The following is a 24,543-nucleotide window of genomic DNA, read 5'->3' on the forward strand; positions in this document are numbered from 1 at the left end:
AATTCTGTGTGGGTTGTGAAGGAGGCCCCCAAGCCTGAGGCTGCATGTCCCCTGGAATTCTTGAGGCAGCAGCTTGTTCTGGCATCACAGCGGAGGGACACTGACTGCAAGAACCTAACCTTCAGCAGGCCAGGGTGGGGCAAGAAGAGCTGGATGACAGTCTCCCTGTGCTGTCCGCTGAGAGTTGCTCTGGGATTTGGGAAGTCTGCAGCTTTCCTGAACACCCTGGTCCCGTGAAGCCCAGGCAAGCCCCACCTCTCCCCTGTTTGTATTCTTGCCTTGGTATATTTAGTCACCACCTTGGTTTTCTGTCCCACAGGAGATACCCCGGCTCTGACAGGATCATGCTGCAGAAGTGGCAGGTACAGTAGCTCCTCCAGAGGGAAGCCCTCTGGGAATGCAAACCAGAGAATGGCTCAGGCCCCAGCGATGGAGAGGAAGTGTGTGGATCAACCAAGAAGGGATCTTATTATTTATTATTATTATTATTTCTTTGAGATGGAGTTTCACTCTTGTTGCCCAAGCTGGAGTGCAGTGGCATGATCTCAGCTCACGGCAACCTCTGTCTCTTGGGTTCAAGCGATTCTCCTGCCTCAGCCTCCCAAGTAGCTGGGATTACAGGCACCTACCACTAGGCCAAGCGAATTTTTGTATTTTTAGTAGAGACAGGGTTTCACCATGCTGGCCAGGCTGGTCTTGAACTCCTGACCTCAGGCGATCCACCCACCTCAGCCACCCAAAGGGCTGAGATTACAGGCATGAGCCACTGTGCCCAGCTGGGATCTTATTTTTCTAATTTACCAAAATGTCTCAGACATTTCCCTGACCAGATGTCGGTGATGGAGTACAAATCTTGCACATTGGAGTCAGAGCTGGGGAATGTGCGTGTGTGCGTGTGTGTGTGTGTGCGCGCACGCGCATGTGCATGTACCTGTACACTATGGATGCCTCCGAGTGGGTACACACACCCCATCTGTGAAGATACACATGTATACAGCCACATAGGGGGCAGAGCATGGGTGTCAATTCTTGTTCCTGGAAGATACACGTGGCTCCCAGCCTGGACAAGTTGACATTCAGCCCAGGGTTCTCAAAGAAAGGAAGAGACCCTAAAAGAGGCAGTTGTAGAGATTCGGGGACAATGAGAAAGTAGGTCTTAGTCACTCAGGTCCAAAATCCTCTCCCAAGGGGCAGGTTGAGGAAAGGAGAGCCCCTGAACATACAGGCCACATGTCAGAGATGACGGCTGTGTTGGATTGCTCACTCATTCAGCGGCCTTGGTGGATTTTATTCCCAATACGGGCCCTGTCTCCATTTGTGACTGTTCATCTGGAGGCAGAGGGCCCTTAAGAGTGAGCATCACCCCAACAGGCAGGGACAGGGAATAGGCAGTTCCCAAAGCCCCAGAGGAAGCCAGACCATCAAGCCTGGGAGTGAGGGCCTCTGTCTCTGGGACTGCCATGGCCCATCTGCTTATTTTCTAACCATCAATAGGTCAGCAGTCAGTTCACCCACAGCATTTGTGCTATGATTTTAGTCAACTTCTGAGAACTGCATCCAACAGTTAACACAAAAGCATGTTTTATCCTTGGTGTTGGATGCTGAACTGCATTGGGTTTTTTTTTTTTCCTTGCTGACTTTGCTTCCCGAATATACTTGCCTCCGTTCATACTGAAATTTGTGTGTGGGTCATGCATGAGATGTGCACAAAGTAACCGAGGGGCTGGCTGCCTGTCCTCACCCACAGAGCCAGGGCCTGCTGCCGAGGCCTGAGGGTGGGACCCATGGCTTTGCAGGAGCATCAAACGTATTTGGTTTATCCCCTTTCTGTCTCTTCTGGTAGAAAAGGGACATCAGCAATTTTGAGTATCTCATGTACCTCAACACCGCGGCTGGGAGAACCTGCAATGACTACATGCAGTACCCAGTGTTCCCCTGGGTCCTCGCAGACTACACCTCAGAGGTAAGTTCCTCACGTGGAAACCACAGCTGCCCTCAGGTGTTCGGACGTTGATAACAGAGACCCTAAGTCAGCATGCAGAGCCTCTGCTAGGAGGTTCCGTCACATGAACCTGGGTACCTGGGCCTAAAGGCTGCTGAAGCTCAGATCTCTTTTTTTTTTTTGAGATGGAGTCTTACTTCATCGCCCAGGCTGGAGTGCAAAGGCGCAATCTCTGCTCACCGCAACTTCCGCCTCCTGGGTTCAAGCGATTCTCCTGCCTCAGTCTCCTGAGTAGCTGGGATTACAGGAGTGCACCACCATGCCTGGCTAATTTTTTTTGTATTTTAGTAGAGAGGGGGTTTCACCATGTTGGCCAGGCTGGTCTCGAACTCCTGACCTCAAATGATTCTCCCGCCTCGGCCTCCCAAAGTGCTGGGATTACAGGCATGAGCCACTGTGCCCGGCCTCAGATCTCTTAACCCCACTGTGGCCTTTGGTATTTGGCTGCCTGGGTTCCTGTCCTGGATCCCCCTGTGGAATGATCAACACAACTAACATAGTTGCTAACATGAGCCCCAGGGGGCTTCCTGGCTTACTCTCCACAGTGAAGGCACCTGATGCCATCTACCAAGATGGTGCCATGGGTCAGCCCTTGTGGGGTGAGGCAGTCACAGGTGAAGTGGGCCATGGAATTTGTTCCTAAAATCAATGTGTGCAGGAGAGGGGCCTGGGAAAGAAAGGAGAGAGAGACACAGGGATACAGACACACAGAAAGGACAAGCTACTCTTGCTGTAACTTGAGTTCAGTGACAGAGATGATGGTGTCTGGGCCTCATCTGGGATCTGGACTGAGATGTGTAGTGACAGGGGAGGTTGATGGTGAGATGACAAGAACAGATCCCTCATCTCTTTTAGCCTGCACCCCTGCGCCCCAGCAGGCAGGGAAAGGATGGGGAGTAAAACTCCACAGCTGGACCAGGGTGATTTCTGTGCTTCTATGGGGACAACCAAACTATGGAGCAGTGTCCTGGCCACCCGGGCTCTGGCCATCTGGAGAGGTGCTGGGCCATATGTAAAGCACACAAGGTGGCTGAGCCACTTGTTCAGATGAGCCTGGCCAGTCCTGCGTAGGGCTGCTTGGATGGCAGACCTTCAGGATTTGGGAGAAGGAGACTCAGTCCTTTGTGACCTCTCATCCCTTCTTAAGACATTTAATGCAGCAAAACGTTTCTCACTAGCACTGGCTGCTGCTTATTGCACTAATGGTCCATCGGAGGCTGAGGCATTTCAAACACAAAACCTACTCACATGTTGCAAAGTGGTGGTTTGCAAGCCTTTTTTGTTTAGGTCATACTAGGTATTTAAAACCTTGATTATTTATCAACTTAAAAATTAGGAGATTTCTCCTTTAAAAAAATCTGGATTTCCAATATCTTTTGGAAAACGGTGAGATCTGGCAACTAGGAATTTTTCTGAGCTGGCAAGATTGTGAAAGCTGAGTGTGGGTCTCCGTGTGTCCCCTCCAGCACTCACTGGGATCTTAAGAGGGGCCATTTCACTCTTGCCCCTGCTTCTCCCTGGCTTTTGCAGGCATTTGAGATAGTGACACACTTGGCCCCCAGTGGAGCTTTGAGGATTCACTGCTAGTGGAAAGAAAGGGTTATGAGCCAGGCGCAGTGGCTTATGTCTGTAATCCTGGCACTTTGGGAGGCCGAAGCAGGAGGATTGCTTGAGCCCAGGAGTTCAAGACCAGCCTGGCCAACATAGTGAGACCCTGTCTCTATCAAAAATGCAAAAATTAGCGAGGCATGGTGGCACGCACCTGTAGTCCCAGCTACTTGGGAGGCTGAGGTGGGAGGATCACTTGAGCTCAGGAGGTCGAGGCTGCAGTGAGCCAGGACCACTCCACTCCATACCAGCCTGGGCAACAGAGCGAGATTCTGTCTCAGAAAAAAGAAAAGAAGGAGAGATACACAGGTACCTCCTCCTATAAAGAAATGCAAACCCCAGCAATTCTTGGCTCCTCTGCTAACATACAGAACCTGAAAAGAAAAAGTTTCCCAGAGCACCTGGCCCTGAAACTGGTCCTGTTTTCTCTGCAGTATATTCCAAGAGAGGGAAGGGGCGCTCACAGCATGCTTTCACTGCCCAGAAAGGAGTGAACCTCCAGGAAAAATGAGCAAGTTCCTCTCATTTCCTCCCTGAACAGATGACTTCTAACTTCCTGTAAAATCAGTTTGATTCTAAGCAAGGACCCTGAACTATTGGAGTACATAATGCAGTTTAGGAGCCAAGTGCCTCATAGACAACACGAGTTCTTTTAAAAGTGTCTTTTCAGTAGCTGGAGGCCATGTTCTGATTTGGGTCAACTTGGAACAGGTTGAGTGTGAACTCAGTCTTCCCCTCCTCTTATTTTTCATTTCTCCCTTTTTAAGTCTTTGTGGATCACTGGCTCTGGGGCCATAAAACCCCAGCCTGCCAGCTAACCACCAGAGGCAGGTCAGACCAAATGACTGTAAATCAATAAAGAGAACCATAAAACTCAAGAGCGTGGCTCCTAGGGCACAAGCGGGTCTGGGGAGTTAACTCCAGCTGCACATCTGCCTTCTAGACATTGAACTTGGCAAATCCGAAGATTTTCCGGGATCTTTCAAAGCCCATGGGGGCTCAGACCAAGGAAAGGAAGCTGAAATTTATCCAGAGGTTTAAAGAAGTTGAGAAAACTGAAGGTGAGTAGATCCAGCTTGATTTTTGGTGCAGTGTTATTCATCGGGATGCCCTAAAATGATAGTTGATAACAATTAAGGTGGTCACCTAGCCTACAAGTAATTGCATTTGAATAGAGGACTCTAACCTGGTGGTAGGAAGTGCCTGGGGAGCTTCTAGAAAATACTGATGTCCAGGCCTCACCTCTAGAAATTTGGATTTAAATAAGTCCGTGGTGTGGCACAGCCCAGGGGATTCTAACATGCAGCCTGGCTGGAGAAATATAATGCTAAGAGGTAATGACTCCATGCCTAGGGGCAGGCAATAGCAGAATAAACTAACATTTATTCAGCACTTTCTCTCTGCCAGGGGCAGGCCAGCCTGTGTTTGTATATTACAGTGGTCCATTTCAAAGAGAAGGAAAGTGAAACTCAGAGAGTTTAAGCAACTTGCTCAAGATCACAGCCTCTAAATGGCAGAGCCTGCATTTGTGTGACTCTAGCTCCCAAACTTTGTCCATCTACACGCCATCTTTAGACGTTTTGCCACATTCACGTGCCGTCTGTGATCTTATTGCCTGAATGTTTTACTTTAGGTCTGTTCACTTCCTAAACGTCAATGAATATATGTTTTTAATGCCGTTCATGAACACAGTGTAGCACACATATCTGCCACGTGTGAGTGCAGGTAAGGAAGCAGCCCTCAAGCATGTGTTTTTGTTGCAGGAGACATGACTGTCCAGTGCCACTACTACACCCACTACTCCTCGGCCATCATCGTGGCCTCCTACCTGGTCCGGATGCCACCCTTCACCCAGGCCTTCTGCGCTCTGCAGGTGAGCTGCTGCCACTCTCTGTACACACACACACACACACACACACACACATACGCCTGTATCACAAGACTAAGACCTGTGCTTGAACAAAGACAGGATGCCTCTGCTAAAAACTCAGTCATTAGCCAGTGATTCCCAGTTGACATTGGCTCCAGGATTCTGGCTCACCAGCCAAGGCAGGCTGTTCTTCCTCAGTTACACCTGCACATCTGCCCAACAAAGTCTTGCAAAATGATTCTAAAAAATAAGAAATGAGACATGAAAAAAATGATTTAACATAAATAAGATTTAGTGGAAAAAGAAAAAGCAGGAAACTTGGAGACTAGAAAGGCAGGCGGTCAAGGATTAGAAAAATAAATACGAGAAGGAACAATGAAAAGAATATGACTCAAGACATCGGAATGCATAAATCTGTACCAAGAACAAACTGAAAGGCTTCGAAGGACAAAACCAACTTACCCACCCATACGCTAACAGACCATTATACCAGCTTACGGTCGCCAGGTTTAAAATAAAAATACATGATACCTAGTTAAACTTGAATTCCAGATAAACTATAAATTATTGGTTGTTTATACAAAATTTAAGTTTAGCTGGGCCTCCTGTATTGTATATGGCCACTCTGGTGTCCAAGTGTTGCCAGGTTGGTGTCCAAGGCATGGGGGATTTCTGGGACAGAGTCTTTCATGGGCAGTGCTGTGAGGGTGCTGAGAAGTTCCTTTCCCCTCTTCCCCTCACAACCCTATCACTGGGATCCTGCTTCCAAGGAGCCCCTTTATCCCAGGGCACAGCTTTTGAACGGGGAGATAGCCCTCAGATAGGGCAGCTGGCTCGGCTGACTCTAAAGAGAATATAGCACAGGGAGTATGGGCTGCCCTGATCCAGACCCTGCAATGGTCTGACGGAGAGAAAGGCATGAGCTGGGATGGGCAACAGGCCACTGAACACACAGACTTGTTCTGACACCTAAGCCTCATCTCAGAAAAGCCTGGGTATCCCAAGAACTGTGAGTTTGGGACTGACCTCACCTGTGAGGTCACTCTTTATGGTCACTCAGAGGACCTTGACCCTGAGAGACCAAAGGCCACCCTGCATCAACACTAAAGCCAACTCTGAGCCCTGGGGCAGGAATGGGTAGGCAAGGTCAAGGCACTTTCTCCAAATAAGGAGCAAACGTCCTCCTGTCTTCCATTACTTGGCGCAGCCTTCTCCCTCCTTGACGGCATAACACGTCTAGACATTGTATAACCCCCTCTCCCTGGAAATTCACTCAAAAATAATAAATGTGCTTCCCCTGAGCCTTTCTCAGGCAAAAAGCATTTTAAGTAAGTTTGGTTTGGAGAACAAATGGTCCCAGAGCTGCACCCCATGCCAGGAATCCCATCCAGATGTTGCTCATTAATCCACAAGAAATGATGATCACCGTTGACGATGATAGTGATGGATTCCGCCACTGGTTTCTATCCTGGGAATTTAAGTGTTTAAGTGTTCAGAATGCTTTGGAGTTTCCTGTTGCCCCTTCAGGAGGCTGCATTATAACCCAAAACCCCAGCTCTACCTGTTGCTAAGGATCTTTTCACATCGGGAGGAGACAGAGTGAAATAGAAACAGTCTCAGCTGTGAGATTTACATCACAGCTCTGCCACTTAATAGATGCAAAATCTTCTGCAAGTTATTTTACCTCTGGAAATGAGGGTTAATTATGCACATCTCTCTGGACTATAGGCTGTTGAGAAGATTAAATGAGAAAATGTGCAGAGAACCCCCAGCTCAAGGCTTGATGCTACATAGGTGATCAATCACTGTTAGTTCCCTTCTTCCCTCTGCAATCAGCTAGATCTAATCTGAGCAGGTCTGAACTTGTCCAGGCTGGTCTCCTCTGGTTTAAGCTAATTTAAGGCAGTCTGGACTGCATCAAAGTATTCCAACTTAGCATGAGCTAGACCTAACAGGTGTGTTGTGAACCAACGGGATATCTGGGCTATGGCCACTTTGAAGCTAATCACTGGTTTAAGCTTATTTTAGCCAGTCTGGTCCATTGGTGACCAGGTAAAATTAGTTTGAGATGGTCTAAACCCATGTGAGAGGGTCACAACCAATTGTCCATGCTTTTAGGTGACACAAATGCAGTCATCTTACCTTGAGCCCTTTTGACTCCCATGTTGAAGTCACTGATGTAACTGAGTTTTGGGGCTCAGATCTGTCTTGGGTAGATTGACCCATCCAAGTTGGAGTCATCTGGGCTGTCTCTACATGCTTCTAAATTGGGTCTCACTTTCTTACTTTTAAATGACTCCTCTAGTGGGTCACACCTGGCCCGAGCCTTTGAACCAGCAAAAGAAAGAGCCACCTTCAGCTTTTTCCTTAGGAAAAAAGAATTTTAGCTCTCGAGAGGATGAGTATAAAGGCTACATAGTCTACCTCTGTGGGAGGACACACCAGGCTCCTCTTTGAGAGTGCTGGGGCCTTGGCAGACCTCCTTAAGAATATTCTGGCATCTTCTTGAAGTCAGGCTCTTCCCTCCATCCCATCCTGCCTCCTAGGGGGAGGCCTGTATCTTCTCCAGAGACCTTTGCTTCACTCCTGTGGTGGCTGGAAAGGAGCCTCCCATAGTCTCAGCAGCCCAAGGCACTACTCCCAACCTGGGGTAGATGATGGAGTGGGGAAGAGTGAGAGACGTGGGGAGGCTGTGGAACCCAGGCAAGGAAGCCAGAGCCAGTGGACATGTAAGAGTCAGCATGGGAGAGCACACGTCTCCATTCTGCTTTGAGCAAATGCTACCACCCGCCTATTACCACAGATAAGCCAGAGTGGAGACATACGTGGTGAGCCTGGGGCTCATGTCCCAGCATCCCCAGGGCTGCGTGTCTGACTTTGCTCAGATCGCTTTCTTTCTTAGGGTTCAGTCTCCTTGGTGAGATCAAGGAGGTGGGTAGGAGGATCACCTCTGAAGGCCTTTCCGTAACAGCTCCAATCTCTGATTGCTCATTAAGCACCTACTATGCACCTGGATGGTGCTAAGTACCTTACAGCTGTTATTTAAACTATTTTATACTTATTTGTTGTGGAAAATATGCATAATAAGAAATTTACCCTTTTAACCATTTTTAAGGGCACAGCTCAGTGTCATTAAGTGCATACACATGGTTGTGCAGCCATCGCCACCATCTGCCTCCAGAACTTTTTCATCTTCCCAAACCCAAACTCTGAAACCATGAAACAATAACTCTCCAATCGCCCCTCCCCACAGCACCCAGCAACCACTGTTCTACTTTCTGTCTCTATGAATGACTACTCTAAGCCTCTTATAAGTGGAATTATGCAATGTTTGTCCTTTTGTGACTGGCTTCTTGCACTTAGCGTAACGTCCTCAAGGTTCATCCATTGTTGCGGCATGTGTCAGTTTCCTACGGCTGAGTCTGCGCCCCTGTATTTGTAGACCACATGTTGTTTATCATTCGTCCATGGCTGGGGTGCTTCCTCCCTCTGATGACAATGAAGGGTGCTGCTGTGAACACTGCTGTGCCTCCTTGGACCCTCACAAGCTTGTGAGAGGCTGCTGTGATTAATCTCAGGATACTGAGTCTCTGGGAGGTCACATCCCTCAGGAAATGACAAGGGAGATGAGATGGGTTCTAGCCCTGGGGACACCAAGCCTAAAACACTCATGGTAAATAAAGCAAGGTGGGATCTACAGAGGTTGTCCAGAGGGGACACAGTGCTCAGAGGAAAGGGACATGTGCCATTTTCAAGGCCACATTTTCAGTAGAATAGTGGGGAGTCCCTCGTGCAGCATCACACACAGGTGCACAGGCATGCAGTGTGACATGTAGGCAGTCACCCGGTACTGCAGCAGGCATGCAGTGTGCTGGCTGCATGTGTGTGCAGCATGGCCCCTGGTGCCCCCAGTGCAGAGTGACAGGCAGCACAACAGCTCTGCCATGGAGCACCTTTGCTGTCACGTACTGTATGCCTGTGTGGCACACCCAGTGCGGTCTGCTGGGTTGCAGAGAGGCAGGCATGGAGTTCTCTGGGCACTGTGGCCCATTTACCCTGCACTGTGCAGAGACTGTGGACAGCACAGAGACCCCCTATTGCTGTGCGGTACATTCGGAACACTGGGTATAAGGAGTGTTTTATTCCCTTCAGGTTTAAGTGTTCTTAGGTTTGAGCTGGTCTTATAATTGACACATACTTATATCCTTGCTGTGTTTGTTTGTTTTTCTGTCCCAAGCCTGTTATTACAATAAGATTTTTACAATCCAGAAAATATGGTATATATATGTACTGTGTGATCTGAGCAGGTGGCACATGCAGGCAGTGTGACCAGGCATGGGTCAGCTTTGAGCTCTGTTTTCCCCACTTTCTTGGAGGTGTGAACTCGTCTGTCTGCCAGGGCAGAGGGCTTATCTCCCCCAGCAGCAGCCCCAAGATGCTGTAGTTCTTTTGTTCATTTGTTTTTTGAGACATGGTCTTGCTCTGTCACTCAGGCTAGAGTACAGTGGCATGATCATAGTTCATAGCAGCCTGGAACTCCAGGGCTCGAGCAATTTTCCTGCTTCAGCCTCCTGAGTAGCTAGGACTATAGATGTGCACCACCACTCCTGGATAATTAAACAAACAAGCAAACAAAAACAAACAAACAAAAACAAAGAAACAAAAAAAAGCACACATTTTGTAAAGACGGGGTCTTATTATGTTGCCCAAGCTGGAAAATGTTATAGTTCTTAGGAGTCTTGCCTGCCTAGAGCAAGTGTCTGTGAGTCTCCAGAAAGCTGAGTCACTAGGAGGTCAGGCCCCTGCTGGGGTCCCAGCCCAGGCACCTGTTTCTGCTCCAGTAAAAGCACCAGTTGCTCTCAGGCCTGAGATCAGACCCACCCGAGGTGGGGCCCAGCAAGGCAGCCGGCGCCCACCAAAGACACAGCAGCGGTGGCTGCTGCTGCATTTAATAAGAAACAGAGATAAAGTGCTGTGTTAATTAAGTCACAGCCCATGTGAAGTCAGCTGTTACCAGCAGTGGGGAAGGGTTTTCCGAACCACCTGAGGCGAGATGGCTGGTTTTTGTACAAGACAGATGCTAACTGCAGAGAGAATGGAGAACCGTGGGGCAGCACTTGGCCCATCCTGGCTGTTGACTTAGAAGCTCCTGGAGGGGTCAGTGCCAGGATTCTTGGTGGAGCGTGTGCCAGGGAAGGCGAGGAACCTGGAGCGTCTGTGTCTGTGCTCACACCCAGGTGGACCATGCCTGCCTCTTCACTTGCTGCCTGCAGCTCAGCCCCTGCCTCTGAGGCAAGCAACCCACCTCCTGGTACCCTAAGGCTCACATAGGGCCAGCCTACCCAATGCAGCCAGGGCTGTGGGGCTAGACATAGAAACTGCCAGCCTCCCTCTGATTACAGTGAAAGGGCATGGGATCTGTAAGGGCCCAAAGTGTGACTTGAGGAGAATCATTCAGGATCTCCAACACCGTCTGGTTTTTATCATACAGACTTGAGGAGTATTGGAAAAGCACGTGCAATAGAGACAGACAGTCCCGGGATAATCTCCTGGCTCTAGAACTTTCTAATTGGCATTATTGAACAACGGAGCCTCAGTTTCTTCATCCTTTAAAATAACCCCTAGCTGGGAGGGTGGTGAGGACTAAAGGAGATACGACATGAGCCATTTTGGCTGACCTTAGTGTCCCCTACGTGCCCACCCTCCTCCTCCTAATGCAGGCAGCGTGGTTTCAGCAAGTCTTGACGGGTTCACTCATTTAGAAAAGAGCCACCACCTACAGGAAGGAAAGCTAATGGCCACTCTGGGGTCATCCCGTCCTCTGTGAGAGCAAGACCAAGGAGGCAGCTGGACCAGTGCGTGGGCTTCCCAACGCCATGAGGGTCCTATGCCTTTAGCTTATTCAGTAGCGTGTCAGGGCCTGGCTTTTTCCTGCAGAGGCTCAGAGAATGCTGGGTCCAGCTTTCCTTTCCCCTCACACATTTGCCCCGTTACTTCTGAGGTGCTGTTGCTACCAAAAGCTGCCCTGACAGTTCAGGCTCTCCTTCCTGTTGTCATCCCACAGTCCTTCAGATTCCCCACCCTCCTACCTCTGTCCTCGCCACTGGAAGATCCCGCCTCTCCTCACTTCCCCCTGTACCCCACCTCCTACCTTCCATAACTTCTATCCCCTTCTCCTTTGGAGCTCCTGGTTGCCTTCCCCATGCACACTGAGATCAGGGCCCAAGCCCAGGATTGCTCCCTAGTTCTAATCCTAGTCTGTGAAGGGAAAAGGACACAGGGGCTGGGTTCATTTGGCACCTCTTTCTATGTGCCTGCTTCATCGCATGAGATATGTCTCTCTCTCTCTCTCTCTCTCTCTCTCTCTCACACACACACACACACACACACACACAATTGCTTTCACACCAACAGCTATCATCCAGGGTTCATAGACAAGGGCATGGGCGGTTAAAGAGATTAAGAAACTCACTTGAGTTCATCCTGCAAGTTAAGTGGGCACTGAACTTCCTGCCCAAGCCAGTCTGCTTCTGAAGCCAGTGTGCTTTCCACCGTTGCATACTGCCTCTTTGATTGGCTAAAGACAGCAGGTTAGATCAACTGATATATCAACAGGGTCCTGTAAGTGAGTTGTTTGCATGGGTACTTTTAAATTACTGGAAAGAATATCTGCAGTGAGAATGGGTTGTCAGCCTGCTGATAAAACCACTTCCATATCCAGATGTGGCAGCAGGTTGATTTGGATCAGTGTTATCAGGAAGGAAGAATAGACTTTCTAGCATATATTATAGAAATATCTGTGCATCTTGGTTTCCTTCAGCATGTGCAGTTACTGAATTTCCTGTGAATGTGGGCCAAGAATTGAAGCCACATTGGAGAGGGGTTTATGAATGTCTAATAGTGATTGAAATGCTCATCCATAGGCAATGGTGCACATAGACTTTGTGTCCTCTCATGAAAGGAGTATTTCCTTTAATATAGAACATTTCTTTTCAGGTTTTCCAGCTTTAGCCATCATACCATAATTATAGACTGTCCCCTGATTTTAACTTGGATCAATGTGCAGGAATAGTCCTTGCTAGCCACTTCTTTTCCTATTATTTTGCCCTCAATTTTGCTTCATCTCTTAGCAATATTTAGCACCTCCTAAAGGATTTTAATTGAGAAGAGGTACCTAGGATTATATTGTTTCTGAACTCTTCAATATTCAAAATGTTCCCACATCTTTACATGTGAGTGATGTCTTAACTGAGCACAAAATCCAACAACTGTAACCTTTTGCCTCAGAATCCTCTAGGCTTGGCTGGCTCCATTGTCTTCTGGCCTAAATGTCACATGGGAAAACCTTCTGCCAATAAGAAATTGTTCCTTTGTTGGCAATAATAACCTTGCTATTATTTTTTACAGTTTGTTTGGATACAGGTAGGATTTGTTGCAGAACAGATTCCAGAGCAGCTCTTGGTTCAGGAATTCTCTTTGATCACTTTGTTCCCTTCCAAGTTCTAGACTTAATTGTGCTGGTTTATTTCATTTGGGTCTGGACTTTCCTTAGATAGACACTCTGTAAACCTTGACTGGGTCTCTCTGCCTCTTACCTTCTTGCCCCATTTTTCCCTCTTCTCTTTCTTTCCTCCTTCCTTCCTTTCGGAGAATTCAATCTTAGCTGGGACTGCTCGCTGGCAGCCACCAGAGTTTACATCAACCCACAGACTTACAATACAAGTAACAAAGCAACTCCACTTTTTCTTCTAGGGAATTTGGTGTTTTCTTTTGTATTGCAGAAGTGAGAAGACCCATTAATTTTGAAACAAATGTATGCAAATACATTTATTAATATAGCAAATAGGAAAATCAGTTATTGCTTCCTTTATAAATAATACAGGCCTAAGTTTTAAAGATATTACTTTAGCTAAAATGCATTAGACAGCTGTGAAAAAAATAACAGTTTTCTTTGTGGTAATATCTTTAACCAGATTTGTAGCACTAACAATATTTCGTATGTATATATTATTTTTATTTAATACAGGTAACCTTTTTATTACCAAATCATATTGTTTCTCAGGAGACTACCATCAGCATTCATAAAAGCTGCAAAAGGGAAACAGGACGAGGAGTAGGCATCAATCTCCCGCAGATGCAAGGCTTGGGCTGCAGATTAAATATACAATGCTCCTAATACATTTCAATGAGTGACTCGTTAGGTGAATATTTATTTCGACACCCCACCCCCATTTTATTTCCATTTCAATTTAAATTTGATGGTGGACGTCATTCCCTAATTTCAACCAAGAGCAAAGCGACCTTGGGGAAAAGCCACATGTTTAAAGCTGCCCATGTGCTGTGTTTGCTTGAGTCAGTGTCCCTGTCCCTGTGTGGGGAATGACCCACAGATCTCACTTGATCTGACTCAGTAAATGGACCAGCCAGACCATGACCCTCAAGATGTCCAGGTGTGGCCACCTTGGGTGTGTGGTAGGTTCCCCCCTCTCAGAAAGAGCTGAGTTCCCCCTTGGCCCACACATAGTGGCTTCAGTTTGTCCCAGGTCCAGGGATTCCCCAGGAATCTGGCATGGGGCAAAGCACGCCCTGTGGAGTTGCATCCATGGGTTTGCCCCAGTTCTGCCATTCACTGCCTTGGGAAAAATCAGTGTACTTTGAGGAGCCTCCTTTTTCTGGTCTGCCAAATGGAAACACCAATTCCTTCCTGATGCAGCTGCTGTGAGGATTAGGAGAGATCATCTGAGCATGGACCAGACATGCCAAGAGAAGGCCCCTGCCCTTTTTTACCTCCACCCACCCCTGCAGCTGCCCCCAAGGCTTCCTTGGGTAAATGCAGAGGGAGACCCTCAGCCCTCTGAGCAGGGAAGGGAGTGGCGGGCACAGAGTGGGCACTGCTGTGGCCCTGCCCCTTGTTCCACATGTGTGCTCTGCAGAAGATGGCAGAAGGAGGACAAGTTTTTGTTATACAAAGGCCCAGCCTTGATGAGGACAAGTGAACTATTGAATCCCAGGCAGAAGGCTATCCCAAAACTTACTTAGACCCAAGGCTCAATTTCAGAAACTGTCTCCTGAAGTCCCTCCACCCCCAGCACCTTCATTTCTCTAACCAGGACCTGGAGGGAGGCACCTCTCTGCCTCCTCCAAACCCCCAAGACCACCTGGTGAATAAGGATAGCATCAGCTGAAGAGTTTGACAATTCACATGAGAGAATCTGGGGAAAGAATGTGCCTGAATTCTTACATGGCCCAACCTCGACAGCCAGGCCTGGGGCTGTACCAGGCCACCTGTGGCCATGGGCCTTGGGACCAGGGCTGGCCCTGGCAGAGGCTGTGGACATCATGTCCTTTGTGGACCAGCCTCCTGCCCCTTGAACCTGAAATTTCTCCATCTCTCCACCCTCAGACCCATTCTCTCTTATCGAAGCCAAGACCCCTGGTCCCAGAGTCTCCTTCCTGCCCACGTCTCTCTCTCACCAAATGCCATGAGCTGTGTGTTGGATGTCACCAGGGCCCTCCCCTAGCGAGCTCTCCTCCCTCCTCCCTTCACCCTCCTCCCTCTGCTTCTTGCTCTCCTGCCACCTCTGCTGCTCACCCAAGCCTTGTCCTCTGCTCAGAACACTGCCATATTCCCCATCAGCAAGCTTCCAGACTCACTTCCGGGGCGCCTCTCCAGGAAACTTTTGCTGACCTCCCACATAGAAGGTTCACCCACTTCTTTGTCCTATGGTTGGTTCTTTATTTCCTGCCTGTGGAACTTGGCCATGAGCCTCTCAGGAGCCGAGTCCCAGTCACTAGCACTCTTGCTGCCTCTTGTTGAGCACCTAATTCAGAGCTGGCCCTCTGCAGTCTTGGAAGTGCTCAGATGTGGTTTTCCTGTTTCTGATATGAACTCAGATTTCCATAGGAGGGAAACATGGATTGATTAACACGGATCATGCATTCTGCCTTGAAGCTCTGGAGCAAGGTTCCAGAGACTAATGAAGGAACCGGTGGCTGGAGAACCACGGCACACACATCTGGGCTGATGGGTACACGTGTGTGAGGAGAGTAAATGAGAGGAGCTAATGGTGGAACCCGTGCCTCTGAGGCAGAATGGACGGTGCCTGGCCAGCAGGAGGGTGCCAGTGAGAGCGGCTGGTCATGTTGGCTCCATTTCCCCCAGGGCGGAAGCTTCGACGTGGCAGACAGAATGTTCCACAGTGTGAAGAGCACGTGGGAGTCGGCCTCCAGAGAGAACATGAGTGACGTCAGGGAGCTGACCCCAGAGTTCTTCTACCTGCCTGAGTTCTTAACCAACTGCAACGGGGTAGAGTTCGGTAAGTGGAGGCCTGGTGAGGCCGGGTGAGTGGCGTTGCAGGGTGCTCTTTCCCACAGCCCCTGGGTGATGACCAACATCATCTGGACCTTTGCTAGGCCCTCCCCAGGACCTCAACTTCGGGTGAGGTCTCCACTGGGCAGCAGTGCCCAGAAGGAAAGGTGGTTGCTGAGGAAGGGCGCTGGCCCCAGGCTGCCAGGACAGTGCTGAGCCACCACCCGACCTGCGACTTTTCCTCCGAGGGTCCCAGGTCTCAGTTGGCAGTGAGGCAGTGGCTGAGACCAGGGGCTCTTCTGTGTAGCCCAGGCCTGGCACTGCCTTTCTGCCTCGAGACCTTGGGCAAGCTCCTGGCCCCGACCAGTCCCATTTCCTCCATGTCCCACAAATGGGTTCATGTGGACTCCAAGGGCAGGACCCAGAGATGCTGGGTGTCCTGGGGTAGACTGCTGGGTGGGATCCCAGGGCAGCTGGACGGGCACTTATGGCAGCTCCTTCCTGAACTGCAGGCCCCAGCCTATGATGCAGCAGGGCTTCTTGCTGCTATAGAGGTGGAACAAACAATCTAGGAGACCACGGTGGGTAGCTCCCCTGGGGACTGTTTGTATGTCTCGGAGCTTCCACTGCAAACAGTTGCAAGGCTGAGTCAGGGCAATTTGCAGAGCAGATGCGTGGTCACAGCCTGGGCAGGTCACCGGCCTGGCTGGGAATCATCTTCTGCAGAGAACACGCATGAGCCATCACCAATGCATACCTCGGGCTCTAGAGCCCCCCCTCGTCAGTGTTCTCCTTCTGCCTCCGGACAGCACATAAGGGCATGCACCTGAGCCAGGCCAGATGCAGCCCCTGTAGGGGGTACAGCAGAGGAGATTAGTCCCTGCAAAACCTTGTGCAGGGGTTTTCAGCCCTAGACATGCAGCCCACATCCCTGAGGAGAAGGCCAGACAGTGAGCCAGGCCCCGTGAGTCTGACCTATGGAACCTGGGGACCTTGGTGGTGTTCAAATCGTTAGACACCTCACATGCGTCAGGGGTGAGAAGTGAACAAATTCAAAGGATGGATCCCCCAAAGCGTGAGGAGTCCCACAGCAGGAGTCACTCAGGGAGGGTGGCAGCCAGGAGGAGGCGGCTGGCCAGCCCGGGGTTAGAGCACTGACCAGAGTACCCACTCTGTCTTGGAAATGAAGCCAGACTCTTCTGCAGGAGGCATGATGGGCTCAGCTGCAGAAATGATGGCTCCTACCAGCAATGGAGGCCAAGAGAGCAAATGTCCTCAGAAAAGTCAGGAGAACAAGTGGTTATTGAGCACCTACTGTATATAGGGACCTTTTTTTTTAGGCACTGGGGATTTAGTTGGGTCTCCTGGGATGGCATGTCCTGAAGATGTTTACATTCTGTGTGAGGATAGGAAAAATGGAAGAGAAAATATAGACAATTTCTATACTGTAAGTGAAACACTGTTGGATGCTGAGAAGTCCTATGAGGAAAATAGGTAGGAAAATGGTTTGAGGATGACTCAGCAAGACCTGAGTTTCTCTGGTCCTCAGGAAGGACCTGTTGAGGAGGTGGCAGGTGAGCTGAGATGAGTGATGAGAAGGGCCAGGCCAGGCAGCTCAGTAGCCAAGAGAGAGCAGGGGAGCTTTTATTCCAGCTGCTTCTTGCAGGCCCTGGGGAGGTCAGGCAAGACTGTAGCTCACATTTATGGAGTAGCCATCATATGCCTGACGTCATTCTAAGCATGTAATGTGTATTTTCTCCTTTAATCATTATGCCAGCCCTATGAGATAATTCCTGTCATCACCTTAAATTTTACAGGTGGAAAATGAATCTCAAAGAAGTGAAGTGGCTTGTGCAAGGTTGGGCAGCTAATGGGGAGGAGGGAGACTTGGGTTGAGTCCAGCCTCCTCATTCTACTGTCAGGGGAATCTCTGTCTAAAAACCTTGCTGTCCTCGCCTTAAAAACGGAGAGAAAATGCATAAATTATCAAGTTAGAATGAAGATTCAGTGAGGTGATGTGTGGCCAGGGCCTAGCCTAGCTCCTGGCGTGGAGTGAGGTGCTTAGAATTTGCCAGCTTGCACCACTATCACTGTATCTCCTGATTGTTTAATGCTGTGTAAAAAGCACCCAGAAGAAAGGCACAGTACAGTGCAGAGGAAGATATACCACACTGATGACACTGAAATCATTTCAGATGACTTGCAAAGCAAGCACTAGCACTGCCTGGGAAGCAAGGAGGGCCTCCTGGAGGAGGCAAAGGCCTAGAAGCCATGCTGAGGGGTCATTCCAGGCAGAGAAGATTGAAAGCAGCATGGTCTGCAGAGAACATAACTCACGTTCAGACCTACACAAAATCAGCAATCCTGGGCAATGTGTATTTTACATCCCCCAGTTCCTAGCCTGATTTGAGTTACCCAAATCTCTGCTGCTTCTCATCCCATGCAGGCTGCATGCAGGACGGGACTGTGCTAGGAGACGTGCAGCTCCCTCCCTGGGCTGATGGGGACCCTCGGAAATTCATCAGCCTGCACAGAAAGGTGAGTCAGGCCAGGACCCCTGGTATCCTGCTGGGGACCTGAACATCCCCTCAAGTTCCACCGAGGCTTTCTGTCCAAGTGGAGGGCCAGTGACCAGCACTGTGAGGCTCATGTCTGGAAAACCCAGAGAAGGGATGGGGTCTATACCTTAGGTTGGCAAGGAAAGGCTTGAGCTCTGGGCTGTTTCAAGAGCTCCAGTAGACCCTGCCTGGGTGCCAGCTTGGTGAGGGTTTCACTGGAGGAAGTGAGCTTAGTGCCCTGGAGGGCAGGTCAGTGTCCTCAGCCAGCCCTACAAGAACATCCACTCCCTGGGCCTGACTGCTCAGCATAGTTCAGAGAGGGTTTGGAGCCTCCCAGGGACTCCCACTGGCCAAAAATTTTCCAGAACTGGGGAGAAATTGGCTTATTACCCAAAAAACTGGACATGGGTAGAGACCAGAGGTCATTAGGGACACATGCTGAATCAAATTTCTGGGTTAGTTTAAGCACATGAAAGACGTTCAACATCATTGGTCACCAGGGAGAAATAAATTAAAACTACCATGAGATGAGATGCTATGACATACCCACCGGAGTGGCTTAAATTTAAAAGACCAGTGAAACCAATAGTTGATGAAAATGTGGAGCAACTGGAATGCATGAGACATCAATGGTGGGAAAAGCAAAACGGTACAACCACTTTGTACAAAAGCTTGGTAATTTTTTTAAAAATTTGCAGGTGCATTTGCCATATTACCCAGCATTTTCCCTTGTAGATATTTACTCCAGAAAATTGAAAGCATGTCCACACAAAAACTTGTGCATGAATCTTCACCAGGTTTATTCAAACTAGTCAAAAACAAAACTCAAATGTCCATCAGCTGGTGAACAGATAAACAAATGATATATCCACACACACACAATGGAATGCTACTCAGCAGTAAAAAGGAGCAGATTTACTGAATCAGTTTACACAGAACAACATGAATGAGTTTTAATGCATTATCCTACATGAAAGAAGCCATAACTCAGGGCTACATATCATGTGATTTTTATATACAGGCATGAAATGTGACATTTAGAGGCAAACTATAGGGACAGAAAACAAATTAGTGGTTCCTAAGATCTGAAGTAGGAGAGTGACCACAAAGGAACACACGGGGGGACTTTTTGAGCCGAGGGAAACGTTCTATGTCTTGACTGTGGTGATGGTTACATGACTGAATGAATTTATAAAAACACTTTGAACTGGGCATTTTAAAAGGGCAAGTTTTATTGTATGTAAATTACACCTAAAAAGTAAAAATAACCTGAGGCAGGTGTGACTAGTGGCAACAAACCTATGCCTTTTCCTGTCCTTTTCTGCAAAGAGAAAGTTCTTCTTGTTTTATTCTTGCCTCTGGAAACTCAGTGATAGGAGTCATCCCTCTCAGAGCCCACTGTCTTGAGTACTTGGGCCAGAGATGAATGTAACTGCAGGCAGCAGCAGCCATAGTCTGATAAAAGACAGAGGTACACATGATTCAATTGACCAGAGTGTTGCTGGAATGATGGACCACTACATCTAAGCTGGATAAAGATGTAGCCAAAAACAGGTGGGTGCTGATATAATGCAAAGAAGAAAAGGGACAAGGGGACCTGAGGTTGTGACAAGGTAGAAGAAGAGCCTTAGGAAGCATGTGAACACCCAGAAAGGTGAGGAGGATGTGACTTTTGCCAAGTGGATGTTTGAATGAGTGCTTTAGAAGATGAGGCAGTTATGGATACTGACATGGGTTAAGGTGTGGCCATGGGAATGGTGACTTTAGGTGGAATGAAGGCAAAAATTTTTGGAGATGTGGAGCTTAAGGAACCGAGAGGCCAGAGATCACAGTCACTGAGGATGATGGCAGATCTTGGAGAAGAAGGGAAGATATGGCCAGGAATCACCATCTTTGATGAATGAGGAGAACAGAGAGAAGTTGTTGGAAGACAGCAGTGAAGATGAGGAGTGAGTACAGCTAGATCTCATGCAGCACAGAGAAGCAGATCTTTTGTGATTTTTTTTTTACAAGAGGACAGAGGACCAATACTCTGGAGGTGGCGATAAGGACTGAGGAGACACCAGCCCAACGTCCTGGCCCCAGACATATGGGTTATGTCCAGCAAGTGGCCACCACTTGAACTTGCTGAAGGAGAACTGGTGGTCTTAGGGAAAGCCAGGCTTCATCTAAGGAAAAGAGGTGGAGGAATGTTTGGGAAGAGCTTGAGGACATGGGATATGTGTTGGTTAGCAAGAGGTAAGAAGAAGGGCCAGCAGAAGGGTCAGCTGTCCTGGCCTATGATCTGCCCTCACCTGGGTATGCCTTTAGTGGTTCTGTGGCAACCACCAACAAATGGCTTCATGCAAACATCTCCAGAAGTTCATGAGGTATACCCCAAGCCAGGTGGTAGGCTTGGGAGAGCCATACCTTTCATTACCCCTCGTATGACATGACTCAAATGTGGCCTTCTTGGCTCCAAAGCCACTTTAATCATAGACCTCAGAAAAGCCAACTTAGCACAGGTGACCTGGCTTCTTCAGATCCAGGTGTGTAGGGCAGCTTGTCCTCCCAGAGGACCAACAAGGGGAGCCCAGACAATCCCAAATGAACATTTTGAGGCTCTGGGCACCTAGCCCTGAAGCTAGGTTCTATTCAGTAGAAACAGGTGCCACCTCTCAGATAGACTGTGATATCGAGACACTGGGCCATACTTCCTCTTGCTCATGTGTGACACCTGATGAGAATTATTGCCAACCTGGGTCCCCCATTCTGAGCCAGTGCCACCCATCTGGGCTCTATGCATGAAAGATCCAGCATGCTTGGCTCTTATGCTAAATTCTTTGGATGACACCTTTTATGAGGGGCAGATGTTGCTGACTTCTGGTGGGAGCTGTGGTCCTGAATGGGATGAGGTTTACTTCTCACTTAAAGGTTGTAAACTCGGATCCAGGCTCCATGTTTGAGTTGAGAATGTCTCCTGTCCTCCCATCTGGAGTCAGTGAGCCTGAGCATGGACAGAATGTTCCTCAGGTCTGTGAGTGCGTGGGTGAGAAACTCCTTGCCTGCTGCATGCCCCCAGCTAGACACAGCTGCCCCAGTGAAGGAAGTTCACATTCCTGGGGGCTAAGCTGTACCTCAGAAGCAGGTTCTATCATTTCTGTGCCAGGGATGATTTAGAAGATGCCCACACCCATGTCCAGAATTCCCCAGTAACTGAGTGAAGTGAGATCTGCTCAGTGAGACTGGATGCCCCCTGTGAGGTTCTGAGGAATGAAAACTGGGGGCTGGAGTGTTAGGATCAAAAACCACACATGAGCCTGCCCTAGAAGTGGGTTAATTATACCTGCCACCAAAAGGCGGTGTTCATGGGAGGAAACAACACCTGTGAAACAGCCAGTGCCTGGCATCGTATGTGCTTAGTGAAATCACCTAACTCCTGGAGCTCCCTGTGTGTCAGCCGTGGACACAACTTAATTCTTACATGAACCTGCTAAGAAGGTACAATTGTTCATTTTACAGATGAAGAAACCAAGGAACAGTGATGTTAAGGAATGTGTACATGGCAGCACCCACACCCACTGTGCTCGAGAGCACGGTCTCCTGATCACTGCACTTAGCCTCCGCCTCCTGACACTCTCTGGTCAGAACCAGCTCTCCTTGTTTCATATGTCACATCTCAGCAAGACCCCAAGACTTTATTTTCAGCCTTGTCTCTTCCATTTAGATGTCTTTCCCAGGCCTGCACCTCATAGATACTGTGGACACCATGGTTGTTTTATGACATGGTTGAGCTGGGGTGGTGAAAACAGTCAGATCTGATTTGCTGCTGGCTGCAGACAGGACTAGGGTGGCCCTCGGGTGGCTGGCTCATCCTGCCTCTTTGTGCTCATCAAGCCCAGGGGCTCATCAATTATCTCCTCTGTGCAGGGCCAGCACTCTGAAGCATGTGCCCCTTCCAATCTGTGCAGCGAGTGCATGAGTCCATGAGTGGCCTGGGTTTTAATGCTCTTTGGGTTTTTGTTCCAGGCCCTGGAAAGTGACTTTGTCAGTGCCAACCTCCACCATTGGATAGACCTTATTTTTGGGTACAAGCAGCAGGGGCCAGCCGCAGTGGATGCTGTTAATATCTTCCACCCCTACTTCTACGGTGACAGAATGGACCTCAGCAGCATCACTGACCCCCTCATCAAAAGCACCATCCTGGGGTTTGTCAGCAACTTTGGACAGGTGCCCAAACAGGTACAGCATGCCTTGTCATTTGCCTTGCTTTCTCAAAAGAGTGTGTGCAGTGTGAGGACATTCTCTCCTGGGGTGAAAGTGAAGGAGATGGCTGAAGAGGTGAAATGGTCCCCCATCATCTTCCTGTGCTTTCAATATCAGGCTTAACCCTCAGTTACCACCTGATGTTGATGCATATGATGACATCATTAGTGAAACTAGTGAAAGTTGTGTTTGTCTGTGACTGATCTGATTTTAGACACTACAATAGATATGTGGTAACTAATTACTTGTGTTCGTATCTACCCTACAGGTTTGTTGTATCCAATGACTTAAGACATATCAAGTGTTTGAAAGTGCCTGAAATATGACCAGCACTTAACAAATGTTAGCTATTAGTGTGATTATATCATTGAAATCTCTCGTGAGCTCTGGATATAGAGAGTATTCTTTTATGGACCAGGAAACTGAGGCTCAGAGAGGCTAAATAAATACCTTGCCTAGAATTACACTAACAGCAGTCAACAGAGGTAGAGCTCTGGTCCTATCTGAATAGGTCTAAAGCTTGCACCATGTTGTCACCAGTGTGAGAGCATCTGCCTTCTACCTGCCAGGCCTCTGGTGAAATTGTGAAGTCTCACCTGGGCCTTCTACTCTGCTGGCTCTGTCTCCTGTCAAGATAGTCACTTAGCAATATGAGGTTGTGCATTCCCCTGTTGACATACTGATGAAAGCACAAGTTAGGTGCTTATTTAATTGATTCTGGCCCTGTTGATCCTTGAACTGTGGTTGTGTGTGGAGGTGTTTTGTTCCAGCCTTCCCCACATGCAACCATGAGGACTCGGGGTGGGGAGGGGCTCCTTCTGCAGTTAGTGCTAAACTAACATCTTTCTCTCTGGTCTCACATGACATGCTGAGGTTTGCTCAGCTCCCAGGTAAAGGGAATATGAGGAAGGTATGAGGGTGACTTGGAGATTGGATGGCACATCCAGTGTGGGTTTGCTGGGAGGCTTTGTAGGAAGGAAAGAATTTCAGGAAATAAGCCTGTTAGCCTAATGGTTTCATTTCTTGAATTTAAAAAATATATAATAATACAAAGCAACAAAATAATTCAAAGTAGTAGCCACTACCATCCAGCCATGTCCTGCCTCATGTACTCATAGCCCTTGTCCACAGCACAGATCTTTTCCCGTCAGTGTAGTCATGGAGTACATATAACTTCAGATTCTGACTACTCAACAATGTGTCATAGGTGCTTTCACAAGTATTTCTAAAGTAGCCATCAGAATGAGAATCCCCAAGTGTCCCAGTCTGAAGACAAGATTGCAGCACTCAGACTCCATGCTGCTCCTGACAGGGGCTGTGTCTGCTACTCCCAGTCACCTTGAACAAAGAAGAGTGCTCATTATTAAACACTCATTGAAAACTCATCATTTTGATTTCTGTTTGCATTGATCGCCCACCCAGTTTTTTTAAATAAGTTACCATTTGATCCAGGACTATAACTGAGCTGAGGTTTCTCTGAGACCACCCATGCCCACCCCAGCTGCCCATCGAACTGGAGCCCCAACTCTGCCCATGTCCACAGCCTGGACCAGCTTCCACCTCTTCTCCCTCCAGCGTACGCCTGGTGGATGACTTGCAGGAATGTGCTTCTGGCTGGAAAGAGCAGCCAGTAGGGCTGCAGTCTGGGAGAGACTGCAAGGTAGAGAGCTGGATATAGAGTTGAAACTTATATCTATATCAGTTAGATATAGATTATATCTGTATCAGTTAGATATAGATTATATCTATACCAGTTAGATATAGATTATATCTATATCAGTTAGATAAAGATTATATCTATATCTATAAACAGCTGATATAGAGTCCAGCAGCAAGGACTCAACCAGGCAGCATGGCTCATGCTCAGGGCTTGGCTTGGTTTTGCAGAAAATTTGGCATTAGGCACAATCTGATGGCAGAGATTGGAGAAAAATAAGAAATAGGCCACTAA

The 24,543-nt window shown here is 48.4% G+C and overlaps 1 protein-coding gene across 9 annotated transcripts in view, besides 2 other annotated features; it reads left to right on the forward strand.

Annotated features, from left to right (window-relative positions):
- Positions 1-24,543, forward strand: part of WDFY4 (WDFY family member 4) — a 298,084-nt gene that overhangs the window by 256,614 nt on the left and 16,927 nt on the right. For all 9 annotated transcript variants that reach the window (XM_011539988.3, NM_001394531.1, XM_017016463.2 and 6 more), the window contains 7 exons: positions 320-362; positions 1,844-1,963; positions 4,554-4,671; positions 5,374-5,483; positions 15,643-15,796; positions 18,236-18,327; positions 22,356-22,568. In XM_011539988.3, coding sequence (XP_011538290.1) covers positions 320-362; positions 1,844-1,963; positions 4,554-4,671; positions 5,374-5,483; positions 15,643-15,796; positions 18,236-18,327; positions 22,356-22,568 — 850 coding nt within the window. The remainder of the gene's footprint in view (positions 1-319; positions 363-1,843; positions 1,964-4,553; positions 4,672-5,373; positions 5,484-15,642; positions 15,797-18,235; positions 18,328-22,355; positions 22,569-24,543) is intronic.
- Positions 6,907-8,106: an enhancer, noted in NCBI's record as "MED14-independent group 3 enhancer chr10:50156438-50157637 (GRCh37/hg19 assembly coordinates)". NCBI's record gives its function as "activates an origin of replication core promoter dependent on BRD2, BRD4, P300/CBP and CDK7 cofactors, and independent of MED14, by STARR-seq in HCT116 cells {active_cell/tissue: HCT116}" and the evidence as "EXISTENCE:reporter gene assay evidence [ECO:0000049][PMID:35650434]".
- Positions 10,648-11,147: an enhancer, noted in NCBI's record as "H3K4me1 hESC enhancer chr10:50160179-50160678 (GRCh37/hg19 assembly coordinates)". NCBI's record gives its function as "activates a minimal SCP1, AML or CMV promoter by ChIP-STARR-seq in primed H9 embryonic stem cells {active_cell/tissue: H9 hESC(primed)}" and the evidence as "EXISTENCE:reporter gene assay evidence [ECO:0000049][PMID:30033119]".

The sequence above is a fragment of the Homo sapiens genome, chromosome 10 (genome assembly GCF_000001405.40).
Source record: "Homo sapiens chromosome 10, GRCh38.p14 Primary Assembly".
NCBI lineage: Eukaryota > Metazoa > Chordata > Mammalia > Primates > Hominidae > Homo > Homo sapiens.